General features: G+C 39.3%; 1 protein-coding gene across 2 annotated transcripts in view, besides 2 other annotated features; it reads right to left on the reverse strand.

The window, feature by feature from the left end:
• PSMD5 (proteasome 26S subunit, non-ATPase 5) overlaps positions 1–20,303 on the reverse strand; it is a 26,870-nt gene continuing 6,567 nt past the window's right edge. The window contains exons 2-10 of one of the 2 annotated variants that reach the window (NM_005047.4): positions 17,260–17,404; positions 15,780–15,893; positions 15,279–15,407; positions 13,047–13,156; positions 10,713–10,855; positions 8,442–8,633; positions 5,303–5,412; positions 4,787–4,927; positions 1–2,111 (exon numbers count right to left, since the gene is read on the reverse strand). In NM_005047.4, the coding sequence (NP_005038.1) occupies positions 1,854–2,111; positions 4,787–4,927; positions 5,303–5,412; positions 8,442–8,633; positions 10,713–10,855; positions 13,047–13,156; positions 15,279–15,407; positions 15,780–15,893; positions 17,260–17,404 (1,342 nt within the window). In that variant the 3' untranslated portion in view covers positions 1–1,853. The remainder of the gene's footprint in view (positions 2,112–4,786; positions 4,928–5,302; positions 5,413–8,441; positions 8,634–10,712; positions 10,856–13,046; positions 13,157–15,278; positions 15,408–15,779; positions 15,894–17,259; positions 17,405–20,303) is intronic. The other variant, NM_001270427.2, reaches the window with a different exon arrangement.
• Positions 8,675–8,874: a silencer, noted in NCBI's record as "fragment chr9:123587005-123587204 (GRCh37/hg19 assembly coordinates)". NCBI's record gives its function as "represses an EF-1alpha promoter that drives an FKBP-Casp9 reporter gene in an ReSE screen in HepG2 liver carcinoma cells {active_cell/tissue: HepG2}" and the evidence as "EXISTENCE:reporter gene assay evidence [ECO:0000049][PMID:32094911]".
• Positions 17,307–17,850: an enhancer, noted in NCBI's record as "H3K4me1 hESC enhancer chr9:123595637-123596180 (GRCh37/hg19 assembly coordinates)". NCBI's record gives its function as "activates a minimal SCP1, AML or CMV promoter by ChIP-STARR-seq in naive H9 embryonic stem cells {active_cell/tissue: H9 hESC(naive)}" and the evidence as "EXISTENCE:reporter gene assay evidence [ECO:0000049][PMID:30033119]".

Below are 20,303 nucleotides of genomic sequence, written 5' to 3' on the forward strand. Positions count from 1 at the left end.
TTTACTTATGAAATGAAAATAATGATTTACAAATTTTATTCAATCTAAAAAAAAAATCAGAATGTGTAGACCATACATAGGAGAGAGGGCATCCCCCCAAAATCTGATGTTAAGTGAATAAAATCAATGTCATGAAGCAGAATGGTGGTTGCCAGAGGCTGGGGAAAAGAGGGAATAGACAGTTATTGTTTAATGAATACAGTTTCAATTGTATAAGATGAAAATAATTCTGAAGATGGATGGTGGTGATGGTTGTACAACTTATGAACATATGTAATATACTGAACTGTACACTTAAAATAGTTATGACAAATTTTATTGTATATATTGCACCACATTGAAAAAAAATCAACATCATGAATGAGATTAAAACAAAGGTCATTTTAAGAGAATATTTCTCAGGCCAGGAAAGACCTGGTTATAGCCTAATTAGTAGTGATATTAACAGTAGGGGACTAGTCAGCATGGAAACACACACAAAAAACAGAGTCACGTTGCCAGGGGAGATGATCAATCTGGGGACTAGATAATTCCAGTCACTTTAAAATAATTTTGTTACAAAGCAGGGGTGGTTTATCAACTTCACCACGGCCTAAAAGAAATATGCTCATGCATAAACCTCTGAACAGGTGATTTGGTGTGCAGAGTGCTTTGGCTTTGCTGTTTAGAGAGAAGAACACTGGAAAACAGGTGGGTGTAGGTGTTGTCAATGAAAAGAAAGATTATCCTTTGTAAATTAATGAGATGGTATCCTGATTTATGCATATGTCCCTTCTGTTCTGAGTCTGTTTATTAGGAGTAAGTTTCCCTTTCTCTGATCAACTCAAGATTGACTTTATAGGTATGAAAAATCCAAAGCAAAACCCTCAGCAATCATGACCTACCAATAAATGAAATGACAGTTTAGGAATCCTTCTGATCCCCCAAAACCACAACAGGGCAAAGTTCATTGGTAAACAGCAAAAAAAATTACATGAACACTATAAACATTTTTTAGATATTTTGTCTTTTTTTCAAAGGAATAATAGTAACAAAAAAACAAGAGAGCTCATAAAAAGTATTCTGAGTATAAGGAACATAATCTTAATATTCCATACTACTCATTTTTCAAAGAATATATCCAAGACTTTGAAAGTGGAATCAGAAATGGAAAAAGGACCAAAAAGAAAAAAAAAGATAGTGAAGAGAATCCAGAAATAATTTGGTGGCAGGTTTTTATTTTATTCATTTATTTTTGAGACAGAGTCTTGCTGTGTTGCCCAGGCTGGTGTGCAGTGGCAAGATCTCAGCTCACTGCAACCTCTGCCTCCCAGGCTCAAGCGATTCTCGTGCCTCAGCCTCCTGAGTAGCTGAGATTATAGGTGTGCGCCACCATGCCTGGCTGATTTTATATTTTTAGTAGAGACAGGGTTTTGCCATATTGGCCAGGCTGGTCTTGAACTCCTAGACTCAAGTGATTTGCCCATCTTGGCCTCCCAAAGTGCTGGGAATTATAGGTGTTAGCCACCGCGCCCAGCCCTGAAGCAGGCTTTTAGATAAGATTGCATGTCCATGAAAATTTTGAGGGAAGAAAAAAACTTCCACCCTGTTGCAAAGATTAAGGCAGTGAAAGGAATCTGAAAAACACTGGATCTATTATGACCAAGCTTGTCTGCTCTTAATGCATTCCAAACTCCTAGTTCCACTTTGCATTTCAATGTAGAAATATAACAGTGTTGGTAACAAAGTAACATCTGACATTCCATGATAATTCTTGGGGAAAGGAAGTCTCTTTTGTGAAATATAGATGGAGTCAAATGCCTTAGGAGAAGTTTTGGTCAAAACGTGGTCCTCTACATGAGCTCTAGAAGAAATCATTCGGCTCCTTCTACTGCTGTCGTGGAAACAGGTTTCACATAGTATGGCCCTTCACTCAGGTAAGTTCTGAGCCTCAAATAATTTGGGTTCCCAAAGATTTCTGCAATTGTCTTGGAATTGGCAAGTGCTTTCACTAGTTCATATTTGGCATCCTTTGAAGCTTTGTCATGCTCCACAGACCGGTCCACCACATATTCTACAAAACCTGGACTGTTAAACATAAGTTTCTGAGCCCAGGGTTGGTTTGCAATGGCCTGAAATGGAAGGCAGAAAGAATACAATTCCCCTGAGTGGAAGTTGTTTGTTAATGGGATGGCACAATATTTACAAAGAAATCTGGCAACATGAACTTTAAAAATGTTACCTTTTGTCTAAGTAAATTCCTTCCTGAGAATCTAACTTAATAAAATAATCTTAAATATGAAAAATCTTTGTATACAAAAATGTTCATAATAGTGTGAAAGTTACAATATAAATATCTAATAATGGGAGAATGGTTAAGTAAATTATGGTATATAGCAATAAAAATAAACATTAACAATAATGTTTACAAAAAATAGGAAATGATACAGGTAAACCTGTTATATAAAAAAAGCAGATTCAAATTATAAACAATGCATGATTACAACAGTGGAAAAATAAAAACTAAAGTAGAAAAGACTAACCTCAAGATACTCATATAGTGCACAAACATTTTCAAGAATGTTCATTGTGGTATCATTTGTAAGATACTATCTAAATCTTCATTTATAGGAGAATGATATATTGTGGCTATTCAATGAAATACCAACTTTCTAACTGCCTCTTTTAACATAGACAAATTTTAAAAAAACGTAACATTGAAGAGAAAAAAAAAAAAAGCAAAAACTGCAATTACTTTTGCACCAACCTAATGGAATGATACAAACAGCATGATACCACTTACAAAGTTTATGAATATCTAAAATACTGTGTTTTATTTAAGGATACACACAATATGTAGTAGAAATATGAAATCATTTATGGGCCCTGACTTTGTGATAGTGATTTTATCTAAGAACAGAGGAAGGGGAATAGGACTGGGCAGAGGTAGCAAGATACAACTATATTTGAAATATTTCACCAAAAATAAACACACACTAATACAAAAACTAAAAGGAAATACACCAAAAGGTAGAACTTTCTGTGATTTTAAAAAATTCTACTTCTAAGTCTTTTCCAAATTTTAAGATTAAGTTTTTCAAAACCTATTACGTTTTAATGAAAAAGAAGTAACAAGTTTATGGCCTAGTTTTTTCCTCTCAAAATGTGTTCCACAGACAAGTAGCATCAGCAACACCTGCGAGCTTGTTAGACTTTCAGGATCCCAGGCTCTGCCCCACAACTACTGAATTAGAATCTACATTTTAATAAGATTCCTAAGATTAATGTTTGAGAAACTTTGGCCTGCTTCACAACCAAGCATGAAAGTAGGCAGAAATAAAAATAGTTATCCCAACCAGTAAATAGAAAATTATTTCTACAATGGAACCAGCTAAGCACAGGATAAGGTAGAAGAGCAAAACCAAAATAAACTAATAATGAAAATACTAAGCAGGATCCAAAATGGCCATCTCATACAATGACCATTTACAAGGGTGAAGCAGTCTTAAAGAAATGTTTCTGGCTAGGCGCGGTGGCTCACGCCTGTAATCCCAGCACTCTGGGAGGCCGAGGCGGGCGGATCACAAGGTCAGGAGATCGAGACCATCCTGGCTAACACAGTGAAACCCCGTCTCTACTAGAAATACAAAAAGAAATTAGTCGGGCATGGTGGTGGGCGCCCGTAGGCTAGCTGCTCGGGAGGCTGAGGCAGGAGAATGGCGTGAACCCGGGAGGTGGTGCTTGCAGTGAGCCAAGATCACGCCACTGCATTCCAGCCTGGGCGACAGAGCGAGACTCTGTCTCAAAAAAAAAAATGTTTCTGAAGATTATAGGAATACCTGTATCCTTCAAGACCCAGATCCTGTATCGCATCCTCAGGAAGCCTTCCCTCTTTTGTCCCTGCCATTTTCCTTATTCCCTCCCAGTCTAGGCCATGTATGCTGTCTGAGATCCCATTATTGATATGATTACTAAAGCGATTACTATCTTGCTATGCTGGGGCTACAAAGATAAATCAGATATGCTTCCTGCTCTCAGCCAACTCTACTTAATAGGTAAGACAAGTCGATAAATAAACATTTGCAAAATAATATAACAAATAGAACACAAAGGTATAATCCTTACCACAGCTGTAATTATATAAGTAACTGTACAATTATATTTACTGCCTGGCTCCTTCAATAGACAGGAAACTACATGAAAGGAAGGTCTTTATATATTTTCTTCACTGTTGTATGCCCTTCACTGAGCAAAAACGGAAACTCAACAAATATTTGCTGAATAAATAAATGCAACATATGAGAACCAACATTGTTTAACTCAACCTTGTCAATCTGGGCAAAGTGTGCTGAAGACAAGGAGTTAGTCCTTGACGAGTGAGTAAGAGGTTAAGAAGCAAAGTTAAGGAAGAGTGTTAGATACGGAGACCCCAGCAAAGGTCCAGAGACACAAAACAAACAGTTTGGTACCACTGGAGCATTAGGTGCCAGAAGCCTTATTTTCTGCACGGGAAATAAGGATTAGGAAGACCAGGGCTAGGTTAATAGAGGATGGCAGATAAAAAGTCTGGAATTAACTGTGTGATCCCATAGCATCCTGTTCAAACCTCAAACAGCACCTAATATCTTTTACTGAAACAATCTGTTTACACATCTGTCTCCTTACTTAGTCTCTAAGGTAGCAGAAGGTAGAAACTATACTATGCACTTGTGCATCCCCAGAGATGGCACAGGCTCTGGCTCACTGTTAAGTACTCAAGTGTTGAGCTGGCAGGGTCCCAGAAGGACCTATGGAAGTGAATACCTACCGTAAACACTTTTAAGGCAGCACAGTGTAGTTCAGGGAAGGGCTGACTACTAATGCCACGGAAGAGCTCCAGTGGATCCCGAGATAAAGAAGAAAACCAGGATTCTGTCATCCTCAGAAGGTCATCAGTCTGCTGCTCAGGCTACAGGAAAGAAAAGGAAAATCTCATCAAAAGTTAACTGATCTGGAGAAAAGCACTTATTTAGAAGTCAGACACCTGAGTGCTGATGGCACTCTGTCATTAATTTGTTGTGTGAAACTGGCTAAGTCTGGAGGACTCTTTCTCAAATCCAGCCCAGACCTTTCCCAGTTTTCTTTGAATGTGGTTGATTAAGCAGTCTCTAGAGTCTCTTCAGTTCTAACACTCTATGATTCCATTTTAAATTAAAAATGTCACTAGTCATATAATGAGGGTTATCTTCTTGTATTTACTTCATCACATTTATCATGTTGATTCATACAGATTTATTCTCCCAAACATATCCCACTGTCCTTCATTATTTCCCTACCTACTTACTGGTAAGTACAGAAGAGATGAAATTGCATCCAAACATCTAATTTTTAGCTCCACTGGGGCATTCTTTGATTGATGTCCTATTCTCATAAGCAAGCGTTCAAAGCGAGTTCCTTTGAAGGATAACAGTGAGATTCTTCTTTATTATGGTAAAATATACACAACATAAAATTTACCATTTTAACCATTTTTAGTGTATAGTTCAGTGCTATTAAGTACATTCACACTGTTGGGCAACCATCATAACCATCCATCTCTAGAACTTTTTCATCAACCCAAACTGAAACTCTGTATCCATCAAACAATAATTCCCTTTCTTCTCTACCCTCATCCCCTGCCAACCACTATTCTACCTCCTGTGAACTGGACTCTTTTAGGCATCTCATCTAAGTGGAATCATACAATATCTGTCCTTATGTGTTTGGCTTACTTCACTTAGCATAATGTTATCAGTGGCGCAGGCTTCCTCCATGCTGTAGCATGTGCCAGAATCTCATTCTTTTTAAAGGCTGAGTAATATTCAATTGTATGTATATACCACATTTTGTTTATTGATTCATCTATCAATGAACATTGGGTTGCTTGCACCTTTTTTTGGTTATTGTGAATAACGCTGCTATGAACATGACTGTACAAACATTTGTTTGAGTCTCTGCTTTCAATTTTTTTTGGTATATACCTGAAAGTGGAGCTGCTGGATGAAGGAAATATAAAATGTACAAGGGTTACAATTTCTCCACATCCTAACACTTATTATTTTATGGGTTTTTTTTTAAAGTAATAGCCATCCTAATGGATATGAAGTGAAAAATGAGATTTTTTTAAAGTATGCTCTCATACACTATGACCTCTACCAACCTAAACCAATACAAAAATAAGCATGTAGTCAGAGAACCAGTGACAGGCCTAGAACACATAATTACACGCAACACAGCATATATAAGGCAAAGTTATAAAACTGGAATCAAAGGACCTGGACTTGAGTAGCAGCTGCCATAATTTGTATGACCTTAGAAATTTTCTTAACTCCTCTAAGTTTCATCTACCTTATCTGGAAAATGAAAATGACAATGTATGTTCTTTGCAGGACTGTAAAACGATTGTCATAGGTAAAAGCACTTAGAAAACGACATATAACAAAAATATTAGCTGTGATACACAACAGCGTATTAATTTTCTTTTTTTCTTTTTCTATTTTCTAATTTTTATTTTTTTGAGATGGAGTCTTGCTGTGTCACCCAGGCTGGAGTGCAATGGCGCAATCTCGACTCACGGCCCAGGTTCAAGCGATTCTCCTGCCTCAACCTCCCGAGTAGCTGGGATTACAGGCGCCTGCCATCACACCTAGCTAATTTTTGTATTTTTAGTAGAGACCATGTTGGCCAGGCTGGTCTCGAACTCTTGACCTCAGGTAATCTACCCACCTTGGCCTCCCAAAGTGTTGGGATTACAGGCATGAGCCACCTCGCCTGGCCTCTTTTTAAATTTTTTTTTTGAGATGGGGTCTCACTCTGTCACCTAGGCTGCAGTGCAACTGAGTGATCAAGGCTCACTACAGCCTTCACCTCCTGGGCTCAAATGATTCTCCCACCTCAGCCTCCCGAGTGGCTGGGACTATAGGCATGCACCACCACAGCTGGCTAATTTTTTTTGTTGTTGTTGTTGACGAAGCTGGTCTTGAATTCCTGGGCTCAAACGATCCTCCCGCCTTGGCCTCCTGAAGTGCTGGGATTACAGGTGAGATAATTTTCAACATATGTGTCTCAAGAATTTTAATAATTGGGCTGCATATTATTTTGTGTGTAAAATTTGTTGTGCTGTTGATCCTCATGGATGTTCCATAAAAGTATCTTTCTTTCTTTCTTTTTTTTTTTTTTTACAGAGTCTCGCACTGTCGCCCAGGCTGGAGTGCAGTGGTGTGATCTCGGCTCACTGCAACCTTTACCTCCTGTGTTCATGCCATTCTCCTGCCTCAGCCTCCCGAGTAGCTGGGACTGCAGGCATGCACCACCACGCTTGGCTGATTTTTGTACTTTTAGTAGAGACAGGGTTTCACCATGTTGGCCAGGCTGGTCTCGAGCTCCTGACCTCAAGTGATCCACCTGCTTTGGCCTCCCAAAATGCTGGGATTACAGGCATGAGCCACCATACCTGGCCTCTTTTTTTTTTTTTTTTTTTGAGATAGAATTTCACTCTGTCACCCAGGCTGGAGTGTAGTGGCATGATCTCAGCTCACTGCAACCTCCACCTGCCAGGTTCAAGAGATTCTCCTTCCTCAGCTTCTCAAGTAGCTGGGACTACAGTTGTGCAGTACCATGCCTGGTTAATTTTTGTATTCTTGAGTAGAGATAGGATTTTGCCATGTTGCCCAGCCTGGTCTTGAACTCCTGAGCTCAGGCAACCCACCCACCTTAGCCTCCCAAAGTGCTGGATTACAGGCATGAACCATTGTATCTCTTAACATGCCAAAAGTATCTCTTAACATGAAATCTTATAACAAACTTTTATTTTCCTTTCTCAAAATTTCATAAATATTCACAACAACCCTGAGAAGCAGTTGTTATGCCATTTTTATAAATGAAGAAAATGAGGCCTAGAAAAGTGAAGTGAGTAAATGAAGTTCAAAAAGCAAAGTCAGGGCTGGATACAATGGTGTGGACCTGTAGACCCAGCCAATCAAGAGGATGAGGCAGGAGGATTGCTTGAGCCCGGGAGTTCGGGGCCAGCCTGGGTAACAGAGAGACACTCTCAATCTCTTAAAAAAAAAAAAAAAAAAAAAAAGAATAGAAAACCCAAGGACATGAATCCAGACCTTTCTGACTCTAGCCCGTGGTCTTTGTACCATGAAATCTAGTCAAAGAAGACATCATAGAGGGGAAACAGGAAACAATGTTTGGTTGAAATCGATTGGTAGAAACCTAAACCAATGAAAACCTAAACCAGTGAAAAGTCAAAAAAAAAAAAAAAAAGGTTTTCCGTAATAATTATTAGATTTTCAGACATGAGTACAAGGTCATGGTTAACAAGACTGCCACCCATAAAATAGTTTCTACAATGTAGTTAACCCACCAGCAAATGAACTTACATATTGAACCCCTGTCAAAGATTAAGATATCCCTGAACAGGGCCAAGTCATACCAACCTGTTTTCTGTAAAACCTGTTTTCCTTCAACATTGGATCCCAAGATTCCAACTGTGTCTACAGCTACACCAATCATAGTGGGGTCCTGACTTTCTATCATTTCAAAGACTTTTTCCACAAAGATAGGATAACGCTCACAGATCTGTTGAGGACTATCCATGACAGCCAGGTTTCCAAAAAACTTCACGAATCCTAAAGAGATTTACAAAAATATATTTTAATAGGGGAACAAGACAGCATGAATTGCGGGCTCTATGACTTCACAGGAACAGAAATGAACTGCAGGCCAGAAAAGCATAGAAAGGTTAGAGTAGTGTGTTGCCTGGAGATCAGAGAGACCATTAGGAGATTCTGAAGGACCTGTGATGTGTGATCCTGAGAGAGGGCGTCAATGGAGCTGGGACCAGCTATTGAAGTACTGGCATATGCAAGAGGGAGAACAAAGAAAAAGGACCAGTGGATACAAATTACAGGAAGGCAAGTTTAGACTCATTACCAGGAAGAAATTTTTAAATGGATATGTTCATTAATAAAATAAGCTAGGCTACCTAAGGCAGGCATACATCTCCAATTTCTGGAAGTGTTCAAGAAAGACTAATCAACCAAAACCCAGAATAGAATGGCAAGAGTAGATCCTACAACAGATAAAGACTCCCACTCAGAGATGTGATTAATCTGTGAAACATACTGTAAATGTCATTACTAGTATTTTTATTTATGTTTTTGTTGATATTCAAAAAGAAAAATATCCTAATGTTCTAAATAGCACTGATGTTTCCAGAAAACCAAAGTCAACAGTACGTAGCTCCAAGAGCAACAGATTCCACCTCAATAAGAGGCTATAGGTATCTTTTTAAAAAAATTAACTTTTAACTGACAAAAAATCATATATCTTTATTGTGAACAATGTATTCTGAAATATGTATATTTAAAAATTATTTTTTCTGCTTTCGTGAAAAATGTCATTAAATTTAAAAATTTTGGAGGGAATGCACTGAATCTATATAGTGCTTTGGGCAGCATGAACATTTTAATAATATTAATCCTTCCAATCCATGAACATAGGATACCTTTCCATTTATTTGTGTCTTCTTCAATTTCCTTCATCAGTTTTTATAGTTTTCAGTGTACAGATCTTTCACCTCCTTAAATTTATTCATAAATATTTAATTTTTTTTGAATGCTATTGTAAATGGGAATGTATCTTTGATTACTTTTTCAGAGTTCACTGTTAGTGTATAGAAATGCTACGGATTTTTATGCACTGATTTTGTATCCTGCAGCTTTATTGAATTTATTTATTCATTCTAACAGTTTTTTGGTGGAAACTTTATTCTATATATTAATAAAACATTACATCACTTGCAAACAGGGAAATTTTCACTTCTTTCTTTCCGATTTGGATGCCTTTTATTTATTTATCTTGCCTAATTGCTCTGGCTATAACTTCTTGTACTTTGCTGAATAGAAGTGGTAATTGTGGGCATCCTTGTCCTGATCTTTTTTTTTTTTTTTTTTTGAGATGGAGTCTCACTCTGTTGTCCAGGCTGGAGTGCAGTGGCGCGATCCTGGCTCACTGCAATCTCCACCTCCCAGGTTCAAAGGATTCTCCTGCCTCAGCCTCCTGAGTAGCTGGGACTACCGGCACCCACCACCATGCCCGGCTAATTTTTTGTATTTTTAGTTGAGATGGGGTTTCACTGTGTTAGCCAGGATGGTCTCGATCACCTGACCTCATGATCTGCCTGCCTTGGCCTCCCAGAGTGTTGGGATTACAGGCATGAGCCACTGCGCCCGGCCTTGTTCCTGATCTTAGAGGAACGCTTTCAACTTTTCACCGCTGAGTATGTTAGCTGTGGGTTTGTCATACATGGCCTTTATTGTGTTGAGATAGATTCCTTCTATACTTTATTTGTTAAGAGTTTTTATCATAAAAGAAAGGTGAAATTTGTGAAATGCTTTTCCCGCATTACTTGGTTGCTGTCTTTATTCTGTTAACATAGTATATCTTATTTATTGATTTGTATATGCTGAACCCTCCCTGCATCCATAGGATAAATCCCACTTCATCAGGGTGGATGACCCTTTTAATGTGCTGTTGAATTTGAACTTGGTTGCTCTAGATATCTTCTAAACGAAATCAGCTCATTAAGGAAATCAGCTCTAAAGGAAAACAATCCCTGTCCACTCCCTACCCCAACCCCCTGATGTCAGAGATAACTCAGAAATAAAACACGCACCATCATTTCCATAGGCATCAGTGTTCCTTACCTGGCAGATAGAAGCTAGAGAAAGGGTCTGAATCTGCCCCAACAATTATATTAGAAATTTGGTCAATTACTCCTTCTTGAGCAAGATATTGTCGCCCATGATGAGTATATGCCAGTGATGTCACCATTTCTATACAGGTGGCTCTAAAATGTCAGAAGGACAAAAACAAGGAGATTTTGCACAGGATTTGCATAGTTTATAAATTGCTCTCATACAGGTTATCTTATTTAATTCTTCTTATCACATTCGAAAGGTCAATAATCTTGGCTCCTCTTTTCACATGAAGCCCTAAGGCCTAGAAATTTGCAGTGACTTCTCTGTAATCATATTGTTATTATAGGCAGAGTTTAGATTTAAATCTTGACCTTCTGATTTGAAGTCCACTATTGTTTCCACTATAACCTAGCTGCTTCCTAAAATATTTTCTAAATTTGTGTTTTATTTTGAAATATCATACACAAAAGTAATGAGAATACAATAAGCCCCCATATACACATAACCTGATTTTATGGTTATGAAGATTTTGCTTTACTTATTTCATCTCTTTTCCCTACTTTTTGCTGAACTATTTTAAAGCAAATCCTAGTCACCCTGCCATTTACCCCTGCATACTTTAGTATGCATCTCTACAAAACACATATGTTTCCTTACACAATTATAATGCCACTGCCACATATTAAGAAATTAACAATAATTCTTTGGTATCATCTCATATCCAACCATGATCAAAGAAAATAACTAAAAAATTTATTTAGTTGGTGGTTGATCCTAAACTGTTTTGACTGACCATTTACAGGTTTTTTTCTATGTCACAAAATTTGATACAATGCTAAAAAATAATTAACAAAATTAATTGTCTCATTAGGTTGAGACACTCAAATGCACTGAAGCAATGTAACTAGTGACTGATTTACTCATATGGGTTTAATAAATTCAGCCATGTTTAAAGAACACAGGACAATCAGAAAATCATTTAAGATAAGAAAAATCAAAACCTATATACACAAAGATAACTATAATGCTATCATAACAGCAAAATACTTGAAGCAAATCAACTGTTCAACAGTGAGGAGGTATTAGTAAACTGTGGAATATCAACAAAAGAACATTTGGCAGATATTAAAGGGGATTTAGGGAATAGCGGGTGGAAGAGACTGGAATTAACATTTCTTTGAGAACCTATGTCAGCCATTGTACTGCTTTCTATGGTCAATTAGCTTAATTCTTACAATATCTTTTTATTTTTTTTGAGACGGAGTTTTGCTCTTGTTGCCCAGGCTGGAGTGCAATGGCACGATCTTGGCTCCCTGCAATCTTCACCTCCCGGGTTTAAGCAATTCTCTTGTCTCAGCCTTCCCAGTAGCTAGGATTACAGGCACCCACCACCACGCCCAGCTAATTTTTTGTATTTTTTTAGTAGAGACAGGGTTTCACCGTATTGGCCAGGCTGGTCCTGAATTCCTGACCTCAGGTAATCCATCCGCCTCAGCCTCCCAAAGTGCTGGGATTACAGGCTGTGAGCCACTGCACCTGGCACAATATCTTTTTTAGTTACTGTTCTGAGAGATGAGGAAACTGAGATGTAGAAAGCTTATAATTATCTGTCCAAGGCCAAACAGCTAATAAATAGTAGAGAGGCATGCAAGCCAAGTCTTCCTCATTTTGAAAAGCTCATATTCTTTTTTTTTTTTTTTTTTGAGACAGAGTCTTACTCTGTTGCCCAGGCTGGAGTACAGTGGTGCAACCTCCACCTCCCAGGTTCAAGCAATTCTCCTTCCTCAGCCTCCTGAGTAGCTGGGAATATAGGCACATGCCACCATACCCAGCTAATTTTTGTATTTTTAGTAGGGACAGGGTTTCACTATGTTGGCCAGGCTGGTCTTGAACTCCTGACCTCATGAATCGCCCACCTCAGCCTCCCAAAGTGCTGGGATTACAGGCGTGAGCCACCGCACCCGGCCTAGCCCATGTTTTTTCTATCATGCCATAGTGTTGCTATTTAACAATGCCAAAATAAATGAATATGATAAAATATTAGTAATTCAAAATGGCAGTTACCACATGATTGCAACTTTTTAAGAGCACACAGGCCTAGGGACATGGAACAGAGTCACTTGAAAGTAGCTGAATTGTCATGTGGGGCTTTCCCAAGTTCCAGTATGTTGTCACGATGTAACTTGAACAATTTTCTAAAGATCCCTCCTTCAGGACACACATCAGTCATGAGATTGCAACCTGGGCAAAGTCTCTAATAGAGAAAATCACAGATGTCCCAAGGTTGTTTCCCAGCCCTTCAAAAGAGGATATTTCACTTTAAGAACTCAGTCAACACACCTGACCAACACATCCTCACCAGTCAGCTCTCTCAGGAGCTGGGTTACCAATCCACTTGTGGTACAGTAGTTTAAAGATTCTGGTGACACGGAAGAAATCTCTATAATTAGCTGAAATAAAAAAAAAAACACAGAAAAAAGAAAAAGGTCAAATCAGCCCTACGCCTGATAGATCTCATTTTAAGTTAAATGTAGGACTAGGTACTTTTTATAAATGAGTTTTAAAAAATCCATTATTTGTCTCTTTAAGTAGAAAAACTTCAGTGAACGCATAAGAAATTACTTTGGCACAGATTATTATTATTATTATTTTTGAGACAGAGTCTCACTCTGTCACCTAGGCTGGAGTGCAGTGGCGTGATCTCAGCTCACTGCAACCTCTGCCTCTTGAGTTCAAGCGATTCTCGTGCCTCAGCCTCCCCAGTAGCTGGGATTACAGGCATGCACCACCACACCTGGCTAATTGTTTTGTATTTTTAGTAGCGATGGGGTTTTGCTATGTTGGCCAGGCTTGTCTTGAACTCCTGCCCTCAAGTGATCTGCCCGCCCTGGCCTCCTGAAGTGTTGAGATTACAGGCATGAGCCACCATGCCCTGCCACCTTGGCACAGAAATGTTCCATTATATCTAGGTGTATCAGCACTTTCCCGCCCAAGCAATCATCAATCAGGGTACAAAAGCCTGAATCAGCCACAACAAACAGATTATAAAACCATTCACTCATTCAGGCATCCTGTCAGTCAGTCAGTCAGTCATTCACTCACTCATTCAGCAAGTATGTTCTGAGGTCTTACTGAGAGATATAGGAAGACACTGAAGGGTTTTAAGCAGAGAAATGACACAATCAGATTTGGACTTTTAAAAGACCATTCTGACTGCATGAGAAGATAGACTAGGGATGATAAAAATGGATGAGTGGAGACCAGTTTGGATGCAAATATAGTAGCCCAGGTGAGTGACACCAGTAAGTTAGTCTAGGGTGGTAGAAGCTGTACTAATGAAGAGAAATGCAGGGGTTTAAATAAAATCAACAAAATATGATGACCGAATGGATATGTGGCAAGGAAAACAGGCCTCAGAATGAGCCAAGGTCTAATACCCAACTAAGCAGACTGTGAGACACAGCCAGTTTGTTGTCTTATTTTTTATTAGGGGGATAGGGTGGATAAGGAAGATCAGGAATTTGATTTCAGCATGAGTTTGAGTGGCCTAGAATATACCCAAGGGGCCAAGAGTGAGTAAGCAGTTGAGCATGAAGGTTCGAGCTCAGAAGAAAGGTCTCAGTTGGAAGTTTACATCTGAGAGGCATCATCACTGATGGGAAGTGAAATCATAAGTGAGTAAAACTGCCTAGGAATGAGTAGAGTACCGTGAAAGCAGGGCTTGGAACTCTGTTTTCATCAACTCCAACAATTAAAGATTCAACGGAGGATAATGAGCCAGGAGGCTGAGAAGAAACTGAGAGGTAGAAGGAAAAGCAGCATAGTATGGTATCATGACATGCAAAGTAAGAAAGTGTTCTGAAGATGGAATTAGACTATAGAGGATTCTATTTCAAACATGCACCCTATTAACTGTGTGGTCTTGGATCAATTGCTCCATCAATATGAGGTTAATGATAACAACATACAAAGTTTACTGTAAGAATTAAAGATAATATATGTGAGTATTTTAGCATAGTGCTTAGTACAAAGCTGGTACAAATAAGGGCCATTTCTTATTACTACTACAAATTTTTTCAAGTCTGGTTTCAATATCTTCTCTATCATAGTAATTATATTGCACTGTAAATATATATATATATATAAAAAGGGTCTTGCTCTGTTGGCCAGGCTGGAGTGCAGTAGTGCAACCACGGCTCACTGCTGCTTCAACTTTCTGGGCTCAGTTGATCCTCCCACTTCAACCTCCTGAGTAGCTGGGACGACATGCACATACCACCATGCACAGCTAATTTTTAAAATCGTTGTAGAGATGGGGTCTCACTATGTTGCCCAGGCTGGTCTGAAACTCCTGGCCTCAAGGGGTCCTCCTGCCCTTGCCTCCCATAGAGCTGGGCTGTAAGTATTTTTTATGACTGTCTCACATACTAGGCTGGGAATGCATCCTTATATTCCCAGCACCTACTGTAGGGCCAAACACAGATTATATACTTAATGAGCCATCTTGCTTTTCAGCATAAGCCAAACTGCATTCTGCTTTGTAAGCATGAGAAAGTGTGCTTTTTATCTTACCTCATACACCCTGTATCGAACAATGTCATTTGTTTTCATTACACTTTTCAAATCATCCAGCAGATTGCTTTCAAATAAAGCCTCCAGTCCAGCTTGGGTTAGTGATATTCTTGACAGGGATTTGATAGCCTTATAACGAAAGAAAATATCTCTTACATTCCCAAAATGCAGGTTATTATCTACTTCATAAGAGTGATGTAAAAATAGTGCATGGAATGCACCTTGCCCATGTTTTAGCTATTATTTATAATTGGAAAAGACGCAAGGTATCCCCCATAGAATTATGATGGATACTGTAGATATGTATATCCTAGAAAATGAAAGGGGTTTACTAGTATTTACTTGACAACCATTTATTTTACACAATCCATATGAAGTTGTAAATTCCATTACGCAAATCATCCATTCTAAACCTTCACCTCTCAATTCAGAAGGCCTTTCTTTATCTTTTGGGACACCGATGTCTCTGCACATTTAAGTCAATGATTCTAGTAGACTCACCGCTTTTGCTACAGATAGATTCTCTCCACCAATGCAATAAACAATTTGTTTTAGTAATTCAGCATTATTTAGAATCTCAGTAACAGCATCAGAATTTTCAACAATTCTTCCAATCTGAAAGAAAAACAATCAGAAACACTCTTCTAAAGTAGGGCAACATACGGTAAACACACGATGGTCCAATTTCCTTAGTGCACAGTTATTTTAGGAGTTAGTGATCACAGCTATATATCAATTCATTAAAAAATCAAAATGACCTAAATTCATTCAGTCAAACACACATATGGTATAGTCACATCTTTGAAAGGAAAGAAAAAAGAAAGTGGGTAAAGAGGTAAGATAGTTCAGTGAGTGAAAACAATACAAACCCAGCTCTATGTTTAGCTACACTGACCTTGCACAAATTTTAGCCCCATTTCTTATCCGTAAAATGGGAACACAATATTTAATTCCAGGATAGTTACGAAGATTAAATGAGACCGAACAGGCAAAGCACCTGCTACAGTGTCTGGCATATAAATGGCCAGTGAATAAACTGATATCTTCCCCCTTTCCCCCAACCTTTTTTTTTTTTTTTTTTTTTGAGATGGAGTCTCACTCTTTCGCCCAGGCTGGAGTGCAGTGGCGCGATCTCAGCTCACTACAACCTCTGCCTCCTGGGTTCAAACGATTCTCCCACCTCAGGCTCCTGAGTAGCTGGGATTACAGGCACCTGCCATCATGCCCAGCTAATTTCTGTATTTGTGTAGAGACAGGGTTTCACCATGTTGGCCAGGCTGGTCTTGAACTCCTGACCTCAGGTGATCCGCCTGCCTTGGCTTCCCAAAGTGCTGGGATTACAGGCGTGAGCCACTGTGCCCAGCGCCCTTTTTTGCTGAATAAACACAGAAAAGGAAAAACAGTAGTTCAGTATCTACTGAGTAACTGTTTAGCTCCTAACATTTCAACAAGATAATCCTTAGCAGCAGCTCTTCACTCAAATAGCAAGGATGCTTTGGTTACCAGGATGATAAGAGTTACTGTCTTAATTGTTGGTTTAGTGACCTTTACAATAGCATTTGGTTCATCCAGTGTAAAGAATCTAAAATGGCAGAGAGCTATTTGAACACATAGGAATCTTTTTCTTTACACTAGGAGCTCCTTGAAGGAAAGTAATCAGTTTTGTTTATCTTGGTAACTCTAACAGCATATGGCACCATGCCTGGCATGTAAAAGGAACTCAGTCAGTATCTGATTAATGAATGATTTAGATGGTACTTAATGGAACTTCTTTCTTTAGCTTGTATCTCCCAGGTTATAGTTAGCTATGCACATTGGAATAGACCACACATTTCCTAGGGGGAAAGAGGGAGCAGAGGAGAGGGGGAGAAGGAAGAGGGAAGGAGAGAGAGAAATACTGTGCTTTCTTCATCTTTCTGTCCCAGTGCAGAACCTGGCCCAGAGCAGGTGGTCAATGTCGGTTCCTAGTAGAATTTCATACCTGGGAAAGAGTGAGGATTTTTACAGAATCATCAGGGTGAATTAGTCCCCTCTGCAGGTCAACCCTGAGGTTCCGGGCCACGTGAACCGGTTCCATAGCTTGGAGCAATCTCTCCAGAATGGATACACACAAAGTAGTCTTTTCCCTGAAGGAGACATCATAAATCTTATTAGTTCATATCCTGCCCAGGTAGGAAGTAACAACCTAATAATAGCTGAAGCTTGCGTCAGCGTCTCCTCCACACAGACTTCTTTTTGAAACAGCAGCTTTCACTCACCTACTAAACATTTGCTAAGTACCTATTATGCGCATTGCCTGTGCTGGGGCAACAGAGAAGAATAAGATATGCACTCTAGTCTTCTTTTTTTTTTTTTTTTTTTTTTTTGAGGTGGAGTTTTGCTCTGTCGCCCAGGCTGGAGTGCAATGGCCTGATCTTGGCTCACTGCAACCTCCACCTCCCAGGTTCAAGCAATTCTCCTGCCTCAGCCTCCCGAGTAGCTGGGATTACAGGGGCCTGCCACCATGCTGGGATAATTTTTGTATTTTTAGAGACGAGGTTTCACCATGTTGGCCAGGCTGGTCTCGAACTCCTGACCTCAGGTGATCCACCTGCCTCGGCCTCCCAAAATGCTGGGATTACAGGCTTGGGCCACCGCACCTGGCCTTTTTTTTTTTTTTTTTTTTTTGAGACAGAGTCTCGCTCTGTTGCCCAGGCTGGAGTACAGTGGCACGATCTCTGCTCACTGCAACCTCCGCCTCCTGGGTTCAAACAATTCCCCTGCCTCAGCCTCCCGAGTAGCTGGGACTACAGGTGCATGCCACCACACCCGGCTAACTTTTTGTATTTTTAGCAGAGACGGGGGTTTCACTGTGTTAGCCATGATGATCTCGATCTCCTGACCTTGTGATTCTCCCACCTCAGCCTCCCAAAGTGCTGGGATTACAGGTGTGAGACACCGTGCCTGGCCCGATATATTCTCTAGTCTTAAGGAGCTCAATACAATGAAAGATACAGAAAAAAAAGGCAACTGTAATCCAGATAAATAAACGCTATGGGCTAAGACTAGAAACTATAGGAGCTTAAAAAAGAACAGAGGGTACAGGGAAGGCTTCCCAGAAGGGTAACATCTAAACTAAATTTTAAGAAAAAGTAGGAGTTATCCAGAAGAAAAGTGTTCTAGGTAGAGGGAGTAGCAGCACATGAAAAGGCAGAGAGGAATAAGACATAGTATTATACTTTCAAGGAACAAGTAGTTTGGTATGATTGGGGTCAGAATGGGAGAGAGGTGGTGAGAAGGTAAAAGGGTGAGGTGAAGGACAAGAACTGAAACTGAAAAGATGCACAGAAGCCAGATTCTAACAGGTATTTTATGTCATGCTTGGAATTTAGACTTCTTCCAGAAAATCAATGGCAGGCCATAAGTGGTCTTAAAGAAGTAAAATGACGAGATCTGACTTATAGAATTCACTCTGCACCAGTGTTAGGGGAAGAATTTTCAATTACAAGGCAGTAAATGGTGAGAGGTGATGAAGGAGTAAACCAGGGGAGCAGCAGTGAGGATAGAGAGAAGAGGGAAGAACTATGTAAGAGAAACTGATGACTACCAGTGGTAGATACAGAAGATGTTTTCAGAACAATTTTCTTGTCTCTTAATAGACACTACAAATAAATGGGCTAATATATTGTTAGTAGTAGTACACAATTCAACTGATACAACCTTTTGGGTAGGTAACTACATGATACAAATGAAAAGCCTTAAAAATGAACATACTCTTTTAATTCAGGAATTTCACTTTGCATAATTGAACCTAAGGTAGTATTAAGAATGTTTTTATACCAAAGATAATTGAAAACATGCTATTTTCACAAAACTTGTACACAAATGTTCACAGCAGTGGAAACAATCCAAATGTCCACCAAGTGATGAAAGGATAAACATGTGTTATGTGCATATAATGAATATTATTCAGCCATAAAAAGCAATGAAGTAATGATACATATCACAATATGAATAAACCTTTAAAATATTATGCTAAGTGAAATAAGCCAGACACAAAAGGCTTCCTTTTGAGAATGATTCTGTTTATATGAAATGTCCAGAATAGACGAATCCATATAGAAAGTAGATTCCGCTAGGCTCGGTGACTCACGCCTGTAATCCCAGCACTTTGGGAGGCCATAGCAGGTGGGTCACCTGAGGTCAGGAGTTCAAGACCAGACTGGCCAACATGGTGAAACCCCATCTCAACTAAAAATACAAAAAAAATTAGCTGGGTGTGGTAGTGGGCGCCTGTAATCCCACCTACTTCAGGAGGCTGAGGCAGGAGAATCGCTTGAACCCAGGAGGCGGCAGTTGCAGTGAGTCGAGATAGCGCCATCGCACTCCAGCCTAGGCGACAAGAACGAAACTCTGTCTCAAAAAAAAAAAATAAAATAAAATAAAGTAGATTCCTGGTTGCCAGAGGCTGGAGGAACGGGGAAGAGGAGGAATGAGGATACTTACAAGTATGGTTTTCTTTTCCTTTTAAAAAAAAAATGTGATTACAGGTAAAATTTACCATTTTAACCACTCTTAAACGCACAGTTCTGTGGGAATAAGTACATTCACTTTGTTGTCCAGCCATCACCATCGTCCATCTCCAGAACATTTTCCTCTTCCCAACCAGAAACTCTGCATCCATTGAACACTCCCTATTCTCCCCTCCCCAAGCACCTGGCAACCACCATTCCACTTTCTGTCTCTCTAGATTTGACTACTCTAGGTATGTAAGTAAAAGCATACAACATTTATCCTTTTGTGTCTGGTTTATTTCATTTAGCACAACGTCTTCAAAGTTCATCTGTCAGAATTTCCTTTCTTTTTGAGGCAAGATGTACAATATCCCATCATATGTATATACCCCATTTTGTTTATCCATTCATCCCTTCATAGACACTTTGGTTGCACATGTGGGTTGCATTGCTTCTGTGCCTTTTAAAATTTTAGCCAATCTAATAGTGTGCAGTAGAATCTCACTGTAATTTTAATTTGTATTTCCCTATT

Source organism: Homo sapiens, chromosome 9, assembly GCF_000001405.40.
Source record: "Homo sapiens chromosome 9, GRCh38.p14 Primary Assembly".
Lineage (NCBI taxonomy): Eukaryota > Metazoa > Chordata > Mammalia > Primates > Hominidae > Homo > Homo sapiens.